Source organism: Homo sapiens, chromosome 17 (assembly GCF_000001405.40).
Source record: "Homo sapiens chromosome 17, GRCh38.p14 Primary Assembly".
NCBI classification, from domain to species: Eukaryota; Metazoa; Chordata; class Mammalia; order Primates; family Hominidae; genus Homo; species Homo sapiens.
In genome coordinates this window covers 65,026,496-65,045,735 of record NC_000017.11, presented here as the reverse complement: position 1 = coordinate 65,045,735, position 19,240 = coordinate 65,026,496, and the positions used below count along the sequence as shown (strand labels likewise).

The window sequence follows — 19,240 nt, the reverse complement described above, 5'->3', positions numbered from 1 at the left end:
TCCTTGTACCATTTCTTCTTTCTTTATTATAGTAACGATATAAGTGATCTTAAGCAATGTTTAATAGTAAATTTACTAACTGTGAATGGTACATTTTATCCTAATCACTATTCAGCTTGGTAAAGGTTCAGTTTGAATCTTTACCTCCTTGAAAACTAACTGTAATAGTGATTCTCAACTGATGTTTCATCAGTGGAAACAGTTTGGTTTTTTTTTTTTTTTTTTTTTGAGACAGAGTCTTGATCTGTTGCCCAGGCTGGAGTGCCTGATCCCAGCTCATTGCATCTTCCACTTCCCAGGTTCAAGCCCTGACCCAGCCTCCCAAGTTATTGGGACTACAAGCGTGCACCGCCATACCCAGCTAATTTTTGTATTTTTAGTAGAGATGGGGTTTCACCATGTTGGCCAGGCTGGTCTCGAACTCCTGACCTCAGGTAATCTGCATGTCTTAGCCTCCCAAAGTGCTGGGATGACAGGTGTGAGCCGCCATGCCTGGCTGAACACAGTTTTTAATGTATTCTGAAAAATAGAAGTTTAATGGCAACCAGTTAGCTGAAAGAGATTGCCAACATTTTTCTAGGACAGTGCCATCTTTAGTGCCTGTCTTCTATGTAATTGGTCAGATTTGCTTTTGTTTTAGAGAAGGGGACACCAGAACACTTTTTCTTTTCTTTTCTTTTTTTTTTTTTTTTTGAGATGGAGTCTCACTTTGTTGCCCACGCTAGAGTGCAGTGGCGTGATCTTGGCTCACTGAAACCTCCACCTCCCAGGCTCAGCCAGTTCTCCTGCCTCAGCCTCCCGAGTACCTGGGATTACAGGTATGGGCCACCATGCCTGGCTAATTTTTGTATTTTTAGTAGAGACAGGGTTTCACCATGTTGGCCGGGCTCGTCTTGAACTCTTGACCTCAAGTGATCTGTCCGCCTTAGCCTCCCAAAATGTTGGGATTACAGGCGTGAGCCCGGCCTATTGTTAACTTTTTATGAACTCCTTTGAAATGCTTCTCATGTAATCATGTCACAGTTTTCATACTGCCTGTGAGCACTCGAGATTGCAATTTCTCACAAAGTTTTTTCTTTTTTTTTTTTCCTTTTTTTTAAGAGATGGGGTTTTTGCTGGGTTGCCCAGGCTGGTCTTGAATTCCTGGGTTCGATTAATTCTCCCACCTTGGCCTCCCAAAGTGCTGGGACTACAGGCGTGAGCCACCACCGTGCCTGGCTTGTCACAAATTTTTTTCCAGTTAAAAGTGACCTAATTTTTTTTAAGTGTGTATTTCTGGAAATGAGAAGTGATTTTTATTTCCCTGCTTGAAAGTATTTCGTTTTTCCCTAGCTATATACTATTCACCTTTGTCTATATTGTGAACCTATCTTGTTTACAAGATGCCTTTTATTCAAAAGAACTTGTTATAGCCACATTAGCAGAGCAGTATTAGAATGAGCTGATATGAATCAAGAAAATAGTTTTGTTTTGAGAACTGAACTTTAGTGCACTTGGCCAAAGTACCAATCTGTTGCGTTGATGGTAGCTATTTATCTTAATCTTCCAAATATAATCACTCTTCCTTTGGCAAAATGAACTGAAAGTATTTTTTCTTTTTTTTACTTTTTGAGACAGGGTCTTGCTCTGTTCCCGAGGCCAATGTGCAGTGGCACAGTCATGGCTTACTGTATGTAGCCTTGACCTCCCCAGCTCAAGCAACCTTCCCACCTCAATCTCCCGAGTAGCTGAGATTACTGGCTCATACTACCACACCCGGCTAGTTTTTTTGTTATTTTCAGAAATGAGGTCTCACTGTGTTGACCAGGGTGGCCTTGAACTCTTGGCCTCAAATGATTCTCCCATCTTGGCCTCCTGCAGTGCTGGGATTTCAGGCGTGACCACTGTGCCCAGCCTCGAAAGGATTTTTAAATCCATGCGGTGGGTAAACTTTTTCATCCCCATCTACTCTGCAGTAGATCCAGAATACTTTAGTGGAACTCTTCGTTGATGTTTGTTTTTTTTGTTCTTGTTTTCATTTTTTATCAGTCCTGGCCTACAGATATTTTTGTTTTTTAATCTAAATAGTAAAATCTGTGTGCTTGGTTGTGCTATCTGTGACTTTTTAAAAGCTTTTATCTTCCATACAAATTAAAATAAACCACATTCAGTCCAAGCGCAGTGGCTCACACCTGTAACCTCAGCACTTTGGAAGGCTGAGGTGAGCAGATTGCTTGAGTCCAGGAGTTTGAGACCAGCCTGGGCAACATGCTAAAAGCCTGCCTCTACAGAATACGCAAAAATTAGTTGAGCATGGTGGCGCACACCTGTGGTCCCAGCTACTCGGGGGTCTGAAACAAGAGGACTGCTTGACCCTGGGAGGCAGAGTTGCAGTGACCTGAGATTGCACCACTGCACTCCAGCCTGGGAGACAGAGCAAGACCTTGTCTCAAAAAAAAAAAAAATTAATAAACATGTTCAAACTTAATGATTGTATATATTGCAAAACATTTTTACATTTGGTTTCATGTGATGGCCTTAAGATTGGATTTGGTTTTGTGCCATGCTGTGGGATAAAGTGGAGTAAGGCAGCAGCCAGAGTTCGTCTTCCGGCTGCCACTCGCTGTGTGAGCTCAGGCAAGTCCTTCGGCCTCTGAATTTCTAGTTCTGCAACTGTAAAATGAGAATGATCTATTATTAGGGACCTACTGTTACTATTGTGACGAGGACATGAGATAACCCATGTAAAGCCCCACAGTACCTGACTTGTATTAACCATATTATTAATATTAGTTATTAATATTCCTAATGGGCTTTATGCACCTAAGTAGCTGCATAGAAAAATAAAGCAGTATAAACTTTGATTTGATTTACTCTCTAAACCTCATTACCAACATAAAAAATTCTGAATAATGTAGAATATATTACTTGTGTTTTCTTATTAGACTGTATGTTGTCTCTAGGACCACATGTTGAAGAGAGATTTGAAGTTTTCCTTGTTACATTAGTTCTTTTTTTTTGAGATGGAGTCTCGCTCTGTTGCCCAGGCTGGAGTGCAGTGGCGCGGTCTTGGCTCACTGCAGCCTCCCTCTCCCGGGTTCAAGTGATTCTCCTTCCTTGGCCTCCCAAGTAGCTGGGACTACAGGCCCGCACCACCATGCCCGGCTAATTTTTGTATTTTTGGTAGAGATGGGGTTTCACCGTGTTGGCCATGCTGGTCTGAAACTTCTGACCTCAATTGATCTGCCCACCTCAGCCTCCCAAAGTGTTGGGATTATAGGCTTGAGCCACCGTGCCCAGCCACCGTGTTACATTCGTTCTTGTTGCCTAGTGATACCGCTTTGCTTGATTTTTAGATCAAAAACTTATGATGTGGTTCTTCTTTTTTTTTTTTTTTTTGAGACGGAGTTTCACTCTTGTTACCCAGGCTGGAGTGCAATGGCTGATCTCAGCTCATGGCAACCTCTGCCTCCCGGGTTCAAGCAATTCTCCTGCCTCAGGCTCCCGAGTAGCTGGGATTACATGCATGTGCCACCACACCTGGCTAATTTTGTATTTTTAGTAGAGACAAGGTTTCTCCATTTTGGTCAGGCTGGCCTTGAACTCCTGACCTCAGGTGACCCACCTGCCTTGACCTCCCTAAGTGCGGGGATTACAGGTGTGAGCCACCGCGGCTGGCTGGTTCTTCATTTTTTCACAGTACCTTTTTAAACAAGTGAAAACATTTTACAAACAATGGGTCTATATTTTTATGGCTAGTCCTTGTGTGTCTTTGTAAATGTAAAAACTTACAACTCTAAAGAATCAAATGTCATTTGAAAATAATAGAGTGTTATATAGATGGTTGGTGAAACTAACCAGTATTGATCCTTCTCATCACGATGACATTTGTAGCCAGAATTATTTGATTGTTTGGAGAATGTGTTCCTGAAATGCCTCAGATGTACCAGAGTGAGACAAGTCATTTATCTTCCTGCTGGAGGCATGGGGAGATAACCTCTGGCTCAGGTGCAGAGTGCTCACCACTCCCACTGAATGTGCTGCTTTCATCCCCTCTTCCTTCACCTTTGTCTCTGAGGTGCTCCCCACACCCCTTCCACGTGCACACACAGACGTACTCTTTCCCTTTCTGTCATTTCTCTGCCCTGTGACTTAGCAGAGGCGTTGAGAGTACTTAGTTAAAGAGGGTGTTAGAGCTTCATTTCCAAGGTAAAAAAATTCATATGTTCACAAAATACATATATATTTTTTTTTTTAGATTCCATGTTTTTTGTGAGATCTTAAAACTTCTGACTATTTTGTATAAAAACCAACTAAAAAGTCTAGAGAATATCTACTTTTTCTCATGGAGCAAAATTAGCAAATTTCAAATTTGCTCCCCTCAAAGAAGAAAGTATTGATTTTAGCATTTAAAAACAAAACTCTTCTATACCACCTCACTCTCCCCAAAAAACATAAAACAATGTCATTGGGTTCTTTGAGCCAAGGCAGCTATATTTAGCTTGTAAATAGGCCATTTCTTTTCTCTTTAAACTCTTTTGGAAAGGTTAAAGAAAAAGAGCTGGAATAATGAATAATTGGGGCAAGAGACTTTCACTTTCCTTTTCAACATCTTGGTTACTGTTTTCTTAGTCTCTTTTTAAAAAATTATTTTTCTGCTAAATAGGATGAATTGGCTCAGAAGTTATATAGAAAATCAGATATATCATCATGTGATTTTTATTTAAGCATCATGATGTGAAATGTGGTTGTATCTTTTCATTGATATTAAATAAAAGAAACATTTATGGAAGCTACTAGCAATGAGCAGCTGTCCCAGAATTTCCATGTTGCTAGAGAGTTGCTCACAAGTTATTGCCTGGCCAACTGCTACAGTAAGCCTAACACATGAGAGAATGTACGGGGGTATACTTTAGACAGATAAAGTTGCTATTCAACTAACGGGTTTTTAAAAACCTAAATTATTGGCTGGGCAGAGTGGCTCATGGCTGTAATCCCAGCACTTTGGGAGTCCAAGGCAGGCAGATCACAAGGTCAGGAAAGCGAGACCATCCTGGCGAAGATGGTGAAACCCGTCTCTACTAAAAATACAAAAATTAGCTGGGCGTGGTGGCGGGCACCTGTAATCCCAGCTACTTGGGAGGCTGAGGCTTGAACCAGGGAGTTGGAGGTTGCGGTGAGCCAAGGTCATGCCACGGCACTCCAGCCTGGTGACAGAGCAAGACTCCGTCTCAAAAAAAACAAAACCTAAATAATACTGTATGTTCACAAAGTTGCAAATACCATTTATCCTAATTGCAAATTTTAAAAAGAAAATGTGATTTATCCAATTCAGTTAAAAATATTATAATACAAATGATTTGCTATTTTTAACTGTTACCAGCTTGCCACATTTACTGTTAAACTATTTGCCACAGCTTCAAACATGGTAGGGACTTTAAACTGTTGCCATAAAGATAATATACATTTCAACTCTAGACTAGAACAAGGAGAATTATACTTGCTTCCATTTTTTCTGGACTTTTCCAATTATGGTATGTTATGATTAAATGTTGCAACCAATTTTAAAGTTGGTGTTTTGTTTAATAGTTTAGTAAGAGAACCAAGGTTCCCCTTGTTGTACAGTATTTTGCACAGTTGGCCTTACTGTGTCTTTTTTTTTTGAAAAAGTATTTTATTAAAAAGCTTCATTCTATAGAAATACTTTTTCTGGTAAGAATATGTTCATGTGATATTTGTATATGTAATTATATTTTATTCTATATGAAAAGTAACTAGCGAATGCAAAAAGTGATGAGGAGACAAGAAAGCCCTAGGTAGTGGATTACAGGAAATGTGTTATTCTGAAACAGGTCTGGTAACAGTTCACTGGTAGCTTTCAGCAGCCATGCAGTCACGTGTTACTGAACACCTATTAATGAGTCAGTTACCTTTTTGTGGGTTAGGTGTTTGCTAGTGAACCAAGTGAAAGTAATCTCTGCGTTGACGTTAGATGCTAGTCAGAGTAATCTACATGAAATATGCAAACAAATATGTAATTACACATGTGGTAAATGCTGCGAAGGAAGAGAAACAATGAGAGACCAAGAGGATGGTCTGAGGAGGCAACATTTAGGTTCAGATCCCATGGATGAGAAAGTCCTCCAGGAAAGGAGGGGGAAGAATGCTCCAGGCAGAATGAGCACCATGTGCAAAGTTGGAAAAAAACTTACTGCTGGTCAGAAAACGTGATCCAGGCCAGGGTGGAGGAGTGAGTGAGGGAGAACTGAGGTGGAAGAGGCAGGCAGCAGCCTGTGACTGCCAGGCCTTGTAGCCCATGTTGAGAAGTTTGGGGTTTCTCTGACTGCCTTGGGAAGCCACCAAAGGATTTTAAGCAAGATCACTCAGGCTGCTGTGTGGAAGTTAGAGGGGAGTGAGGGAGAGCCTTTGCACCAGATACTGTTCTTCGTCCTAACCAGTTCCAGAGTTTGGAGACTATTGCAGAGCAAGCAGCTTGTCGTCAGTTGGTGGCTGTAGAGATAAGAGAAGAAAATGGATTCAGGATATACTTTGTAGGGAAAATCATTGGGATCTGCTAGATTGGATGTGGGGTAGGGAAGAAAGGCATATATTAAGAGTGACTCAAGTTTCTGGCTTTATCAACTAGGTGGATATTGGTGCTATTTACTCAAATCACAGGATCATGGGAGAATGATATTTGAGGGGGATGATTAAGAGTTTAGTTTGGGCATACAGACAGTCCCTGGTTTACTGTGGTTTGACTTAACGATTTTTTTACTTTATGGTGGTGTAAATGCAATACACATTTAGTAGAAACTGTACTTCAGGTACCCATATAGCCGTTATGTTTTTCACTTTCAGTATGGTATTCAGTAAACGTTGTGAGATATTCAACACTTTATTATAAAATAAGCTTTGTGCTAGATGATTTTGCCCAACTATCAACTGATGTAAGTGTTCCAAGCATGTTTAAGGGAGGCTAGGCTAAGCTGTGATGCTTGGTGGGTTAGATGTATTAAATGTATTTTTGGGCGGGGCACGGTGGCTCACGCCTGTAATCCCAACACATTGGGAGGCCAAGGTGGGCGGATTGCTTGAACTCAAGAGCTCGAGACCAGCCTCGCCAACATGGTGAGAAACGCCCCCCCGCAACCCCGTCTCTACTAAAAATACAGAAAAATAGTTGGGTACGATGGTGTATGCCTGTGGTCCCAGCTACTCAGAGCTGAGGTGGGAGCATCCCTTGAGCCCAGGAGGTTGAGGCTGCAGTGAGCCGTGATTATGCCACTGTACTCAAGCCTGAGTGACAAAGCAAGACCCTGTCTCTAAAAATAAATGGTTTTTTTTTTTTTTTGAGATGGTGTCTTGCTCTGTTGCCCAGGCTAGAGTGCAGTGGTGCAATCTTGGCTCACTGCAACCTCCGCCTCCGAGCTTCAAGCGATTCTCCTACCTCAGCTTCCCAAGTAGCTGAGATTACAGGCACGTGCCACCAGGCCCGGTGAATTTTTGTATTTTTAGTAGAGACAGGGTTTCATCATATTGGCCAGGCTGGTCTCGAACTCCTGACCTTGTGATCTGTCTGCCTCGGCCTCCCAAAGTGCTGGGATTACAGGCATGAGCCACTGCACCCGGCCATAAATGTGTTTTTGACTTAACGATATTTTCATCTTAAGTGATGGGTTTGTTGAGGCATAACCCTGTTGGAAGTCAACGAGCTTAAGTACTAGGTTGAGATCTCTGTGAGATGTATGGGTGGAGATACCAGGTTGACAGCTTGATACATGAGTCTTGAATCCAGAACAGTTTGGGGCTAGAGATAGAAATTGAGGAGGTGTTTGTATCTAGGAGATATTTAATGTCTGTGAAATAATTACTGAGTATAATTTTTCTGATATGATTACTCGGGGAAAGGGTGTAAAAAGAAGAGATGAAGGCTCACGGTAGAGTCTTTTTGTCTTTTTTTTTTTTTTTTTTTTTTCCATTTTTGTAGAGGCTGGGTCTCTCTCCATGTTGCCTAGGCTGGTCTCGAACTCCTGGGCTCAAGCAGTCTGCCTCTCTCGGCCTCCCAATGTGTTGGGATTGCAGGTGTGAGCCACTGTGCTCAGTCTGACAGTAGAGTCTTGAGAAATCTCTACATCTTTTGAGAATGTTCAGAGGAGGAGATCCTAGCAGAAGTGGCCAGAAAGGTAGGAGAAATGTAGGCACATGTCACGTCATGGAAGCCAGGAAAGTGTTTCAAGAAGAAAAAAGTGGTCAGTGGTGTCCTGTGCCATTGAGAGGTCTAGGAAGAATTCTAGGAAGAATCGATGTTGGCACAGGAAAGTTGGATATGCTGACTATGGCAGCAGGTGCCCTGGTGAGGGAGAGGCCAGCCTAGAAGGGCTTAAGAGGAGAGAGAGGCGAGGAAGTGGAGAAGATTCAGTTGAAGTCAAGCTCACTGTTCTCTTTTCCCTTTTACAGTACTTTCAACCCTCTGGCTTAGTAAGTTGTGGTTTTTCTGACCTTTTTAAAGTTTGAGAGGACATTTTATTTATATTAACCAATTTATTTGAATTTCAGTCTCAGAAGTATTAAATATTAGTTCATAAGATTGTTAATCTGCTGGGTCAGGCAAATACAGAAGAGTTTTTCACTTTATTCTTGATTATTTTACTTATGATCATTTCCAATTTAGTTGGGGTAATAACCTGATCAGTTATATACATTGCACTCATTCATTCTTCAGCAAACATGTACTGAATACCTGCCCCTAGTATGTTCTTGGCCCAGACTAGGCCCTAGCAACCCAAGTGAACTGCCTGTCTGGCTGCCTTAATGGGGGCTCCCAATCTAGTGGGGAGCAAATGAAATGATCAGTGCGATCATTTACTGCACTAGCAGCTGTTCTGCCAAGAGTGTGCAGAATCACTCTTTATTAACCTAGAAATGACCTGAGAGAGCATGTAGTCGAGTTCTGGTCATTTTGTAAGTAAAGCATATGGCCACAGAGGTGAAGGACACATAGAGGCTAAGGTCACAGCTAGTTTTATTTATTTATATATTTATTTATTTGGGACATAGTCTCACTCTTTCACCCAGGCTGGAGTGCAGTGGCACGATGTAGGCTCACTCCAACCTCTGTCTTGCAGATTCAAGCGATTCTTATGCCTCACCTTCCTGAGTAGCTGGGACTACAGGCACGCACCACAACACCCACCTAATTTTTGTAGTTTTAATAGAGACAGGGTTTTGCCATGTTGGCCAGGCTGATCTCAAACTCCTGGCCTCAAGCAATTCACCCACCTTGGTCTCCCAAAGTGCTGGGATTACAGGCGTGAGCCACCGTGCCTGGCCCAGCTAGTTTTAGTGATAGAGCCAAGATTCAGACTCCGGGTTGTAGGATTCCAAAGCCCGAGGCTGATACTCAGCTGCCTTGCTTTATTGCTTCCTTAGTAACAAAATTGACCAAATCGGGACTTGGAAACAGGAGCTGATGTGCCAGCATACATTTTGAGCTAATTTTCACATTCATCAGCTTTTGAAAATATTTACAGGTTGGCTTGCTTTGCTGCCTGACTGTGAAGGATGGGAAAGTATTTAGTGCTCCTTATAGGCTGTGTGGAAATTTTCTTCTGGAGAGAGTTTGGTTGGGATAATGATTGAGCTCTAAACTGGGAATAAAGTCATCTGGGTTTTCCTTTCACCTGTTTTGTGATCATAGGCGTAGAATTACCTTATTAATTAGTGTTGATTATTGTGTAATATTTGAGTTATAGGGTATTTTTTAGCACATCATCACAGCAGAATTTTCCACCTGGAGTGCGTTCACGAGGACTTCGGGGTATTATGAAGCGCTCTAATAGGCGCCTCTCTTTAGATAGTGGAGGAATTGAAACTGTATTTGGGAAGTATGTCCTGCGTTGGAAAACAGCATATACTTTTTTTCTTTTTAACAATTGAAGTCGTTGCTTTTTGGGAATCCAAAAAAAAAAAAAATTAACAACGAAGGGTTCTAGTTCTGACAAAGCTAAATATTTCTTGATATGCTGATGGGATTATATATGATTGGCCCTTTTCAAAAAAGTATTTTAACCTTGAGGGATTTTTCAAGGCTCAGAATTCTTAAGCTTTCTGTTGTTATCATTATGTGAAAACTGAAGAGTAGGAAAGTGGTTTGTCTGTTCATGACTTACAGGCTCCAGAACCTTAATTAGCTTGTTTTTTTTAAGTTTAAAATTTTAAAACATACATGGTTCATTGTAAAATATCATCCAGTTAGCCACTATCCTACCACCTCAGGACATCTCTGCTGACATTTTGGTGTATTTCCTTCCAGTATTTGAATACGATATTGGATGTTGAGATAAGCTTGTTTGTACTTTCTGTACAACTTTATATCCTGTTCATTTAATGTTGCATCATGAGCATTTCCTGGAGGAGGTGATTTTCTCAGAGGAGCAGCAAGGCATTTTTTAGAAATAGATGTGTATTTTTTATTTAAATGGAAAATTCTTCCCGCTATATATGTATTTTTTTAGCCAACAGAAGATAGTGGTGCTAAATGGTAACATGGAACAAATATGGGGTAAATATTACCATGTTGCTACCTGATCAGCAATATATATGATGTCAGAGCTGACCCATCTCTGCAGTATTAAACTCCTTTCTCACATTTAAAATTTGTACTTAATTTTGTTAAGTACCGTGGCTCATGCCTGTAATCCCAACACTTTGGGAGGCCAAGGCGGGTGGATCACCTGAGGTCGGGCGTTCAAGACCAGCCTGACAAACATGGAGAAACTCCATCTCTACTAAAAATACAAAATTAGCCAGGCGTGGTGTTACATGCCTGTAATCCCAGGTGCTCAGGAGGCTGAGGCAGGAGAATCGCTTGAACCAGGGAGGCGGAGGTTTCAGTGAGCTGAGATCGTGCCATTGCACTCCAGCCTGGGCAACAAGAGCAAAACTCCATCTCAAAAAAATAAAATAAAATAAATACTAAACATATGGCTAAAACTTTTTTCTCTGTTTCTCCACGATGAAGCATTTTAGTAAGGTCCTTTTTTTGTGACTTCTGTAGTAGGAGAATTACTAAACTGCGTTGTACATTTTGTGTTAACATTTGATAGGACTACGGAAATACTCCTAGAACACTTGGATCATTAAGATTATTAGCCTTGGGCCAGGCACGGTGGCTCACACCTTTAATCCCAGCACTTTGGGAGGCCGAGGCAGGTGGATCACAAGGTCAGGAGATCGAGACCATCCTGGCTAACAGGGTGAAACCCCGTCTCTACTAAAAATACAAAAAATTAGCTGGGCGTGGTGGCGGGTGTCTGTAGTCCCAGCTACTCGGGAGGCTGAGGCAGGAAAAGACTTCATCTCAAAAAAAAAAAAAAATTATTAGCCTTAAATTATTTTGGTGATAAGGCCAACACAAAAACTTGATATAAAGAGGAATTTATTAATTTGTGAGCAGCAACAAGAAAAAGGCAATTTCTAGAATAATGTAATAAGTTCTTTCCAAAAAAGCTCTTATTTCATGTGCAGTAGTTTATTTTTGTAGCTTATATGCTAGAAAACATTGAAATAACTTATCTAAGTGAGATAAAGGTAGTATTCTACTTATGCTATTATAGACTGTCTTACATTGGTCTGGAAAGATACTTAGTTTGAAAAAGAAATTTTCAAATATTGAAATGGTTTATGATGTAACTGACTAATTTTGGTTCTTTTGGATTTTTTTTTTTTTTTTTTTTTTTTTTGAGACGGAGTCCTGCTCTGTTGCCCAGGCTGGAGTGTAGCAGGGTGATCTTGGCTCACTGCAACCTCCGCCTCCTGAGTTCAAGTGATTCTCCTGCCTCAGCCTCTCGAGTAGCTGGGACTACAGGCGCCCACTACCACACCCAGCTAATTTTTGTATTTTTAGTAGAGACAGGGTTTCACCATATTGGCCAGGCTGGTCTCAAACTCCTGACCTTGTGATCCGCCCACCTCGGCCTCCCAAAGTGTTGGGATCACAGGTGTGAGCCACCAAGCCCGGCCTCTTTTGAAAATTTTAACTGATGTACATAGAAATTGCTGGCAAGAAATTTGGAACTGTGTATTCACTTGGAGTCTGCTTAATTTTTATGTATCTACACAGCAAAGGAAAATGGCTTGTCGGCTATAAGTTTTGTTCCTCATGAACTGAACATTTTACTCCTCCTGAACTAAACAGAAAGGCATGACTGGTGGTACTTTGAGTATGCTGTAATTTTTTTAATTTTTTTTTTTTAATTATTTTTTTTAAAGGCAGGGTCTCATTTTGTCACCCAGGCTGGAGTGCAGTGGTGCAATCATAGCTCACTATGGCCTTGCACATCTGGGCTCAGGCAATCCTTCTGCTTCAGCCTCCTAGTAGCTGGACTACAGGTCTACCACACACCCACACCCAGCTGATTTCTTCTTTTTTTTTTAGAGATGGGGTCTTGCTTTGTTGCCCAGGCTGGTCTCGAACTCCTGGGCTCAAACGATCCTCCCACCTTGGCCTCCCAAAGCATTGGGATTACAGGTGTCAGCCAGTGTGTCCAGCCTAACTATGCTCTAATGATAACAATGACAGTATTACCCTCATTGAAAACATATCCTATACATCACATCAAGTACTGTGATTTTTTTTTTTTTTTAAATGGAGTCTCGCTCTGTTGCCCAGGCTAGAGTACAGTGGCACGATCTTGGCTCACTGCAACCTCTGCCTCCTGGTTTCAAGCAATTCTCCTGCCTCAGCCTCCTGAGTAGCTGGGATTACAGGTGCCAGCCACCACGCCCGGCTAATTTTTGCATTTTGAGTAGAGACGGGGTTTCACCAAGTTGGCCGGGCTAGTGTAGAACTCCTGACCTCAGGTGATCCACCCATCTCAGCCTCCCAAAGTGCTGGGATTACAGACATGAGCCGCCGCACCCAGCCTAATACTGTGTTTTTTTTCCAGAGAAAAATGAAGTCATAGAGAAAGCCATGGGGCAGAAAAGGCAATATCAAAGATAAAGACCAATAGAATAGGTCCCGTGTGACAACCAAGCAAAATGAAAATGTTGGAAAGGCATTAAATAAAAGAAGTGAAACTGGTCCATGGTAAGCTCTGAGAACCAGGAGGAGAGTTTTGTATGCTGTATGTAAAGCCAGCCTTTGGACTGGGAAGACCTTCTCAAGTCATTCTTTATCACACTTAATTTGAAATAAAAATTAAAGGGAGAAAGACCTAGGATAAGAGGTAGTATATTTCAAATGTTTGAAATAGGATGGTTCCAAGATTTTTTAACTTTAAAATCATTTTCAAAGCTGTGAATAAACTTAAAATGTAATCAGGCCTGGTTTTGTATTTACTGTCTTTAAGGAATTGCATGTAATAGATTTCAGATAGTGTGGGCAGAACAATCTCATGGTATATTTCATATTTTTATGTTAATATGTGGAGAGACGAGAGAGAAAGGACAGATAGGGTGGGAAATTGAGTGTAAGTACTAATAAATATTACCTTCTGTCTTTTTACTAGCCATATCCTCGGGTTGAATCGAAAAGTCTTGGTTGATTAACCAGCCTTAACCCCAGAGTTTTCCATTTTGTATCTATTTATGTTTGGCATTTAATTGTTGCTGAAAACTTTATGTAAGTACATGCTAGATGGAATGGCTTCTGAATAGACTTCATTATAAGCCTACTGTTACAATGAACAGCTCCTTATTTATATATGACTTTATCAAGATGTTTCCAGGACTGAAATTATTAGTGTATACATATGCGAATTATTGATAAAAGCCTATATCTAGGTCTCTTTTATACACACACACACACACACACACACACACACACACACTCTCTCTCTCTCTCTCTCTCTCTCTTTCTCTCTCTCTCTCTCTCTCTCTCTCTCTATGTTGTCCGGGTTGGTGTAGAACTCCTGGGCTCAATAGTACCCCCTACCTCACCTCAGCCTCCTGAGTAGCTGGAATTAGAGGCATGCACCACCATGCCCAACTCTTAGGTCTCTTTTAAAAGCAAGTTAATAAGTTTGCTATTGAATAGCTTTCCCCAAGCATATGCTTAATGAGTCCTGCCTAATAAATATTTAGAAAACATTTTGACCTGGATTTGTTTTGGGATTATAACACTGATGGAAATTAAAAGTATATTATAGGTATATAAAAACCTTACGATAATAAAAGTAACTCACAGTTGTGATTAAGTATGAATAAACTTAGATTTCCAGTTTTCTCTGATATCACTTGATTCTTTTTCCTCTTTGAAATGTTCCAAACTTGCACAACAAAGGACTTATATATGCATGGGAAGTGTGTAAACCATTTAAACCATTGGGCTTAGCTATTTTAGAACACAGACATTTACAGTCGTGTGCCAGGAAGATGTTTTGGTCAAGGACTGACTGCATATAAAATGGCGGCCCTGTAAGATGATAAGGGAGCTGCCCTATACAGGTGTAGCATTTTTAAAATCTTTTGTAGTATATCTTTACTGTACCTTTCCTATGTTTAGATACACGAATACTTACCATTGTATTACAGCTGCCTACCCTATTCAGTACAGTAACGTGCTGTACAGCTTTGTAGCCTAGAAGCAATAGGCCATGCCATATAGCCGAGGTATGTAGTAGGCTGTGTATGCTAGTAATTAAGATGTTCTGCTCTTTATAGCACTTGGTTGGTTCTCTATAAAGAAAAACTGGATATTAACTTTGAATTATACTTTCATTTTTGGAATCACATGTATACTTAGGTTTCAGAAGAAACTCTACTTAATTATCTTGGTAATATAGATTTTCTTTTACTTTCAATATTTTTTGAGTTGTTTACTTTTAAAAGACACTTGCAGGTGATGTTAGCCTCATAACTAAAGAGATCTCAACACATAAAAATTGGGTACTTTTTTAAAAAATTGAGATGGGGTCTTGCTATGTTGCCCAGGCTGGTCTTGAACTCCTGGGCTCAAAAAGTCCTCTGATCTTGGCCTCCCAAAGTGCTGAGATTACAAGCATGAGCAGCCATGCCCAACCAAAATTGGAAACTTTTTAATTCACTTTATTTTGTCCTTTATAGTTGGCTTGTTTTTTTCAAAGTGAAATTTCTGCCATTTACGTACATTCTTAATTGGCCTGCAATTAAATTCTGGACATTTTACAAGATTAAGCAGTGATGTTTTATTTTAGTAGCAAACAAACTTTTGAATAGCCTACTTGAGTGTGATAGTCTTCTGACCTTCATTATAGTCTATAAAATCCAGTAAAATGAAGTTAATTACATGTGTGATGCATATTATTACCTAACATTCTCATTATCAGAATTTGACCTTTGTCAGATTTCCGGTATTAATCATTAGAACATATACTATCTATGACAAAAACAAACCTTTCAAATTCTGCATGATCTGTGATTCTTCACCAGCATCTGGAGATCTAGTCTTGGAGTAGTTAATAGCCCTGCTTGGTCATTACTTTGAATTTGGATCTGCTGAAACTTCAGGATTATAAATATTCTGAAAGTTTCTAAATCTGCTCAGAGAAAAAGCAGTTAGGAAGATTTGTCATCATCTTTGCTCCTTCCAAATTCTATCTTTATATTATTCTCTTCGAACTACCAGGATACTTTATCACTTTTATGGGATGTCTTTTTGATTGATGTTAACACTGAGTGGTTACTTACATGGAGTAGGAGCTTCCCATTTTGTCTTAGCATCTTCCCGTACCACTGCCTACAGTGCTCTTCAAAGCATTCAGACTTACTGAAAAGAGTCACGCACTTTATGCCACTGAAGATCTTTGCCATGTACATTTGAGTTGATCTCTTTTCTGTCTTTAGCATTTACATTTATAAACAAGTGGAATTTAGTGGCAGAAAGTTGCCTTTAAAAAAAAAAACCTTCCCGTTCAATGTATTATGCTTGTGACAACTCTGACATTTGTAGAAATAATAAGATGGAAACAGGATGTCATAAAGGGGAAGTTATAATACAAAAAATTCAACAGATGTTTATGTAGCTATTGCTCTGTACAGGGTAAAATTGCTATCCTAGGATACAGGGAGGTGTAGCAAAGAGATTTTGAGTCTAAATTTGACATGTAGGACTACATATAAAAATAAAGAAGTGCCATGAGTGGTATAAACCGTAAGTGCAAAAGATATTGAGTGAAGAGTATGATTACCGAGAGTTGGGAAGTTGCAGTGGAGGTAGGGGAAAAATAAGAATCAGGATACATTAAATTCTTGGTTCTGCCACTGAAACAGTTTTGTTGGCTAAGCCACCTAACTTCCCTGACCCTTAGGCTTCTCATCTGTAAAATGGAGCATAAGGTTACTTGTTCTCCAAGCTGTCTTCCAACTTAAAATTTATCTTTGCTCCCTGTATAATAGTAAGAACCCCAGAAGGAGAGGTGGAAGCAGAGGCGTGTGGGGGAAATGGTGTTAGGCAGAGGAGGTAGGAATATGCACAGAATTTTCCAGAAGCATGGGGAGATGAGCATGGAGCTTGTTTCATAGGGAAAAGTAGGAGATAATGTTGGAGATAGTCAGTTGGGACTAGCTGGAGACTTCAAACACGAGACATGCTAACTGCATAGCTAATTCAGCATTTTATCAGATACTATTATATTTCTCCTGTTTTAGGTAGTTCTTGGTAAATACTTTTTGACTCAGCAGCACAACTGAACAGTATCCTTGATCCTTCAGTGTTCACCAAGTTTTTCCCAACATCCTTATGTTTCTCATTCAGGTGAACTTCTCAGTATTATATCAGTAACTCTGCCTCCTTTTTTTTTCTTTTTCTTTTTCTTTTTGTTTCTACCTCCTTTTTAAGAAACAAAATCCATAGTATTCCTCTTTAAGGAAACTGTCACCTACTTGGGGAAGGCTAGATTCTAGAGACTGCATGTAGAGGCTGTAGCTCTCTGGAAGGTGTGTAGGTGGGGGAAGTGGAGGCTGCAGATTGGAAGAAGAAGGTGGTGTGGAGCTGAAGAGTAAAGTAGGGAGGCAGGAATTAGAGATAGTTTGATCTGTATTCCTTGACTTTCATCTTTCTTGGTGACCTGAAAGTTGCTTAAGGTTGTGGCGCTATCATCCTAGTGTTGAGGCCAAGACAAGTGATCTGCAGTCATACCTCTCATGACACATGAAACAGTCTTCTTAGGCTCAAGTATTTCATGAAATGCCCTAAGTACCAGTGAGCTAATTACAAGAGGCAACTGCTACCATTTAGGAAAATTATAATTACAGTGGTTCTTGCAAGTAGATGATGAGCAACCTTAAGAATCACCTGTGAAGTGGGTTTTTTTTTTCCACTTTCTTCCTTATATGGTAGGTGGTATTTTTTTTTTTTTTTTTTTTGGAGACAGCCTCACTCTGTCGCTCAGGTTGGAGTGCAGTGGCGTGATCTCAACTCACTGCAACCTCTGCCTCCCGGATTCAAGCAGTTCTCCTGCCTCAACCTCCCTCCCAAGTAGCTGAGACTACAGGAGCCCATCACTATGCCCGCCTAATGTTTGTACTTTTGTTTTGTTTTGTTTTTTGAGACGGAGTCTCGCTCTGTCACCCAGGCTGGAGTGCAGTGACGCGATCTCAGCTCACTGCAAGCTCCGCCTCCCGGGTTCACGCCATTCTCCTGCTTCAGCCTCCCGAGTAGCTGGGACTACAGGCACCCGCCACCGCGCCCGGCTGATTTTTTGTATTTTTAGTAGAGACGGGGTTTCACCGTGAGCTCGATCTCCTGACCTCGTGATCCGCCCACCTCGGCCTCCCAGAGTACTGGGATTACAGGCGTGAGCCACCGTGCCCAGCCTAATGTTTGTACTTTTAGTAGATGGGATTTCACCATGTTGGCCAGACTGGTCTTAAACTCCTGGCCTCAAGTAATCTGCCCACCTTGACCTCTCAAAGTGCTGGGATTACAGGCATGAGCCACCACGCCCAGCCTTGTTTTCTTAACTGATAGAAGTTTTGAATATTTGGTTTTGTTTTGGCCTCTCCCATCATTCTTAGGAAAGCCTTTTGTTGTAAAGGAGAAATTAGCATGTCAGTGTTCCTAGTTTCAAAGAGAGTCCAATTCTGTGATACTCACTTTTTTCAAACATATATATTATTTAACACTATATGCAAATATTTAGAGGGATACAGTGACTAAGAAGGCAAAAACTGTCCCCAGGAACAATACATTGTAGAAAAGGAAATAAAACAAGTACACAGATGATTGCATATGAGGTAGAAAATGACTCATGCCATAGGAGGTGCTGATAAAACCACTATGGAAATTTAAGCAAAAGGTTTTCTTAGATTTTTAAAGGGCCCCCAGTGGCTGCTTGTGGTGGTACGCCTGTAATCCCAGCTACTTGGAAGGCTGAGGCAGGAGGACTGCTTGAGCCTAGGAATTTGAGACCAGCCTGGGAAACATAGTGAAAACCTATCTCTTTAAAAAAAAAAAAAAGGCGGGGGAGGGGTGTGAGGTGGGAATTTGGCTTTACTATATAAATAAATCTGGATGATTTGAGAAAGACAGGTGCACTTTGGATTTCTGAGGCAAGAGAAAGGACACAAAAGTGCTAGTGTTAAGATCAGAATTGTAGAAAAATTATTAGGAAGTCAGTAAACTAGATTTTCATAAAATGGTTTCTTTCCTTCTGCTTCAGAAAGTAGTGAGCCTTAAGAATATGCTGGGAAAAGAGGCCGGGCGCGGTGGCTCACGCCTGTAATCCCAGCATTTTGGGAGGCCAAGGTGGGCGGATCACCTGAGGCCGGGAGTTCGAGACCAGCCTGACCAACATAGAGAAACCCTGTCTCCACTAAAAATACAAAATTAACTGGTCATGGTGGCTCATGCTTGTAATCCCAGCTACTTGGAAGGCTGAGGCAGAAGAATCGCTTGAACCTGGGAGGCGGAGGTTGTGGTGAGCCAGGATCCTGCCATTGCACCCCAGCCTGGGCAACAAGAGCGAAACTCCGTCTCAAAACAAACAAACAAACAAACAAAAAATTGAATGTGCTTGGAAAAGGTTCATGTATATGTCTTTATAACCACTGTTACATTTTGATGAGTTTCCTTGTAATCTCATTTTCTATGCAATTTTCTTAAAAGGGGGTTCATACTATATTAGATCTTGAATGATCTAGAAGTTCTGTATTTTAATGAACCCCCTCTGCTTCATATTTTTTGATGAATTTGTGATTCTTTAGTGTAAGATTCATTTGGCAAAAAATTATTTCTTTAATTATACTTACTTTGGAAACGGCTTTATTTTACAGCCTA

General features: G+C 40.7%; 1 protein-coding gene across 2 annotated transcripts in view, besides 2 other annotated features; it reads left to right on the top strand.

Moving 5' to 3' along the window:
• The window catches only part of GNA13 (G protein subunit alpha 13), a 47,452-nt gene that overhangs the window by 11,005 nt on the left and 17,207 nt on the right, over positions 1 to 19,240 (top strand). The window lies entirely within an intron of this gene.
• Positions 16,170 to 17,109: an enhancer, noted in NCBI's record as "H3K27ac hESC enhancer chr17:63024745-63025684 (GRCh37/hg19 assembly coordinates)". NCBI's record gives its function as "activates a minimal SCP1, AML or CMV promoter by ChIP-STARR-seq in naive H9 embryonic stem cells {active_cell/tissue: H9 hESC(naive)}" and the evidence as "EXISTENCE:reporter gene assay evidence [ECO:0000049][PMID:30033119]".
• Positions 17,110 to 18,049: an enhancer, noted in NCBI's record as "H3K27ac hESC enhancer chr17:63023805-63024744 (GRCh37/hg19 assembly coordinates)". NCBI's record gives its function as "activates a minimal SCP1, AML or CMV promoter by ChIP-STARR-seq in naive H9 embryonic stem cells {active_cell/tissue: H9 hESC(naive)}" and the evidence as "EXISTENCE:reporter gene assay evidence [ECO:0000049][PMID:30033119]".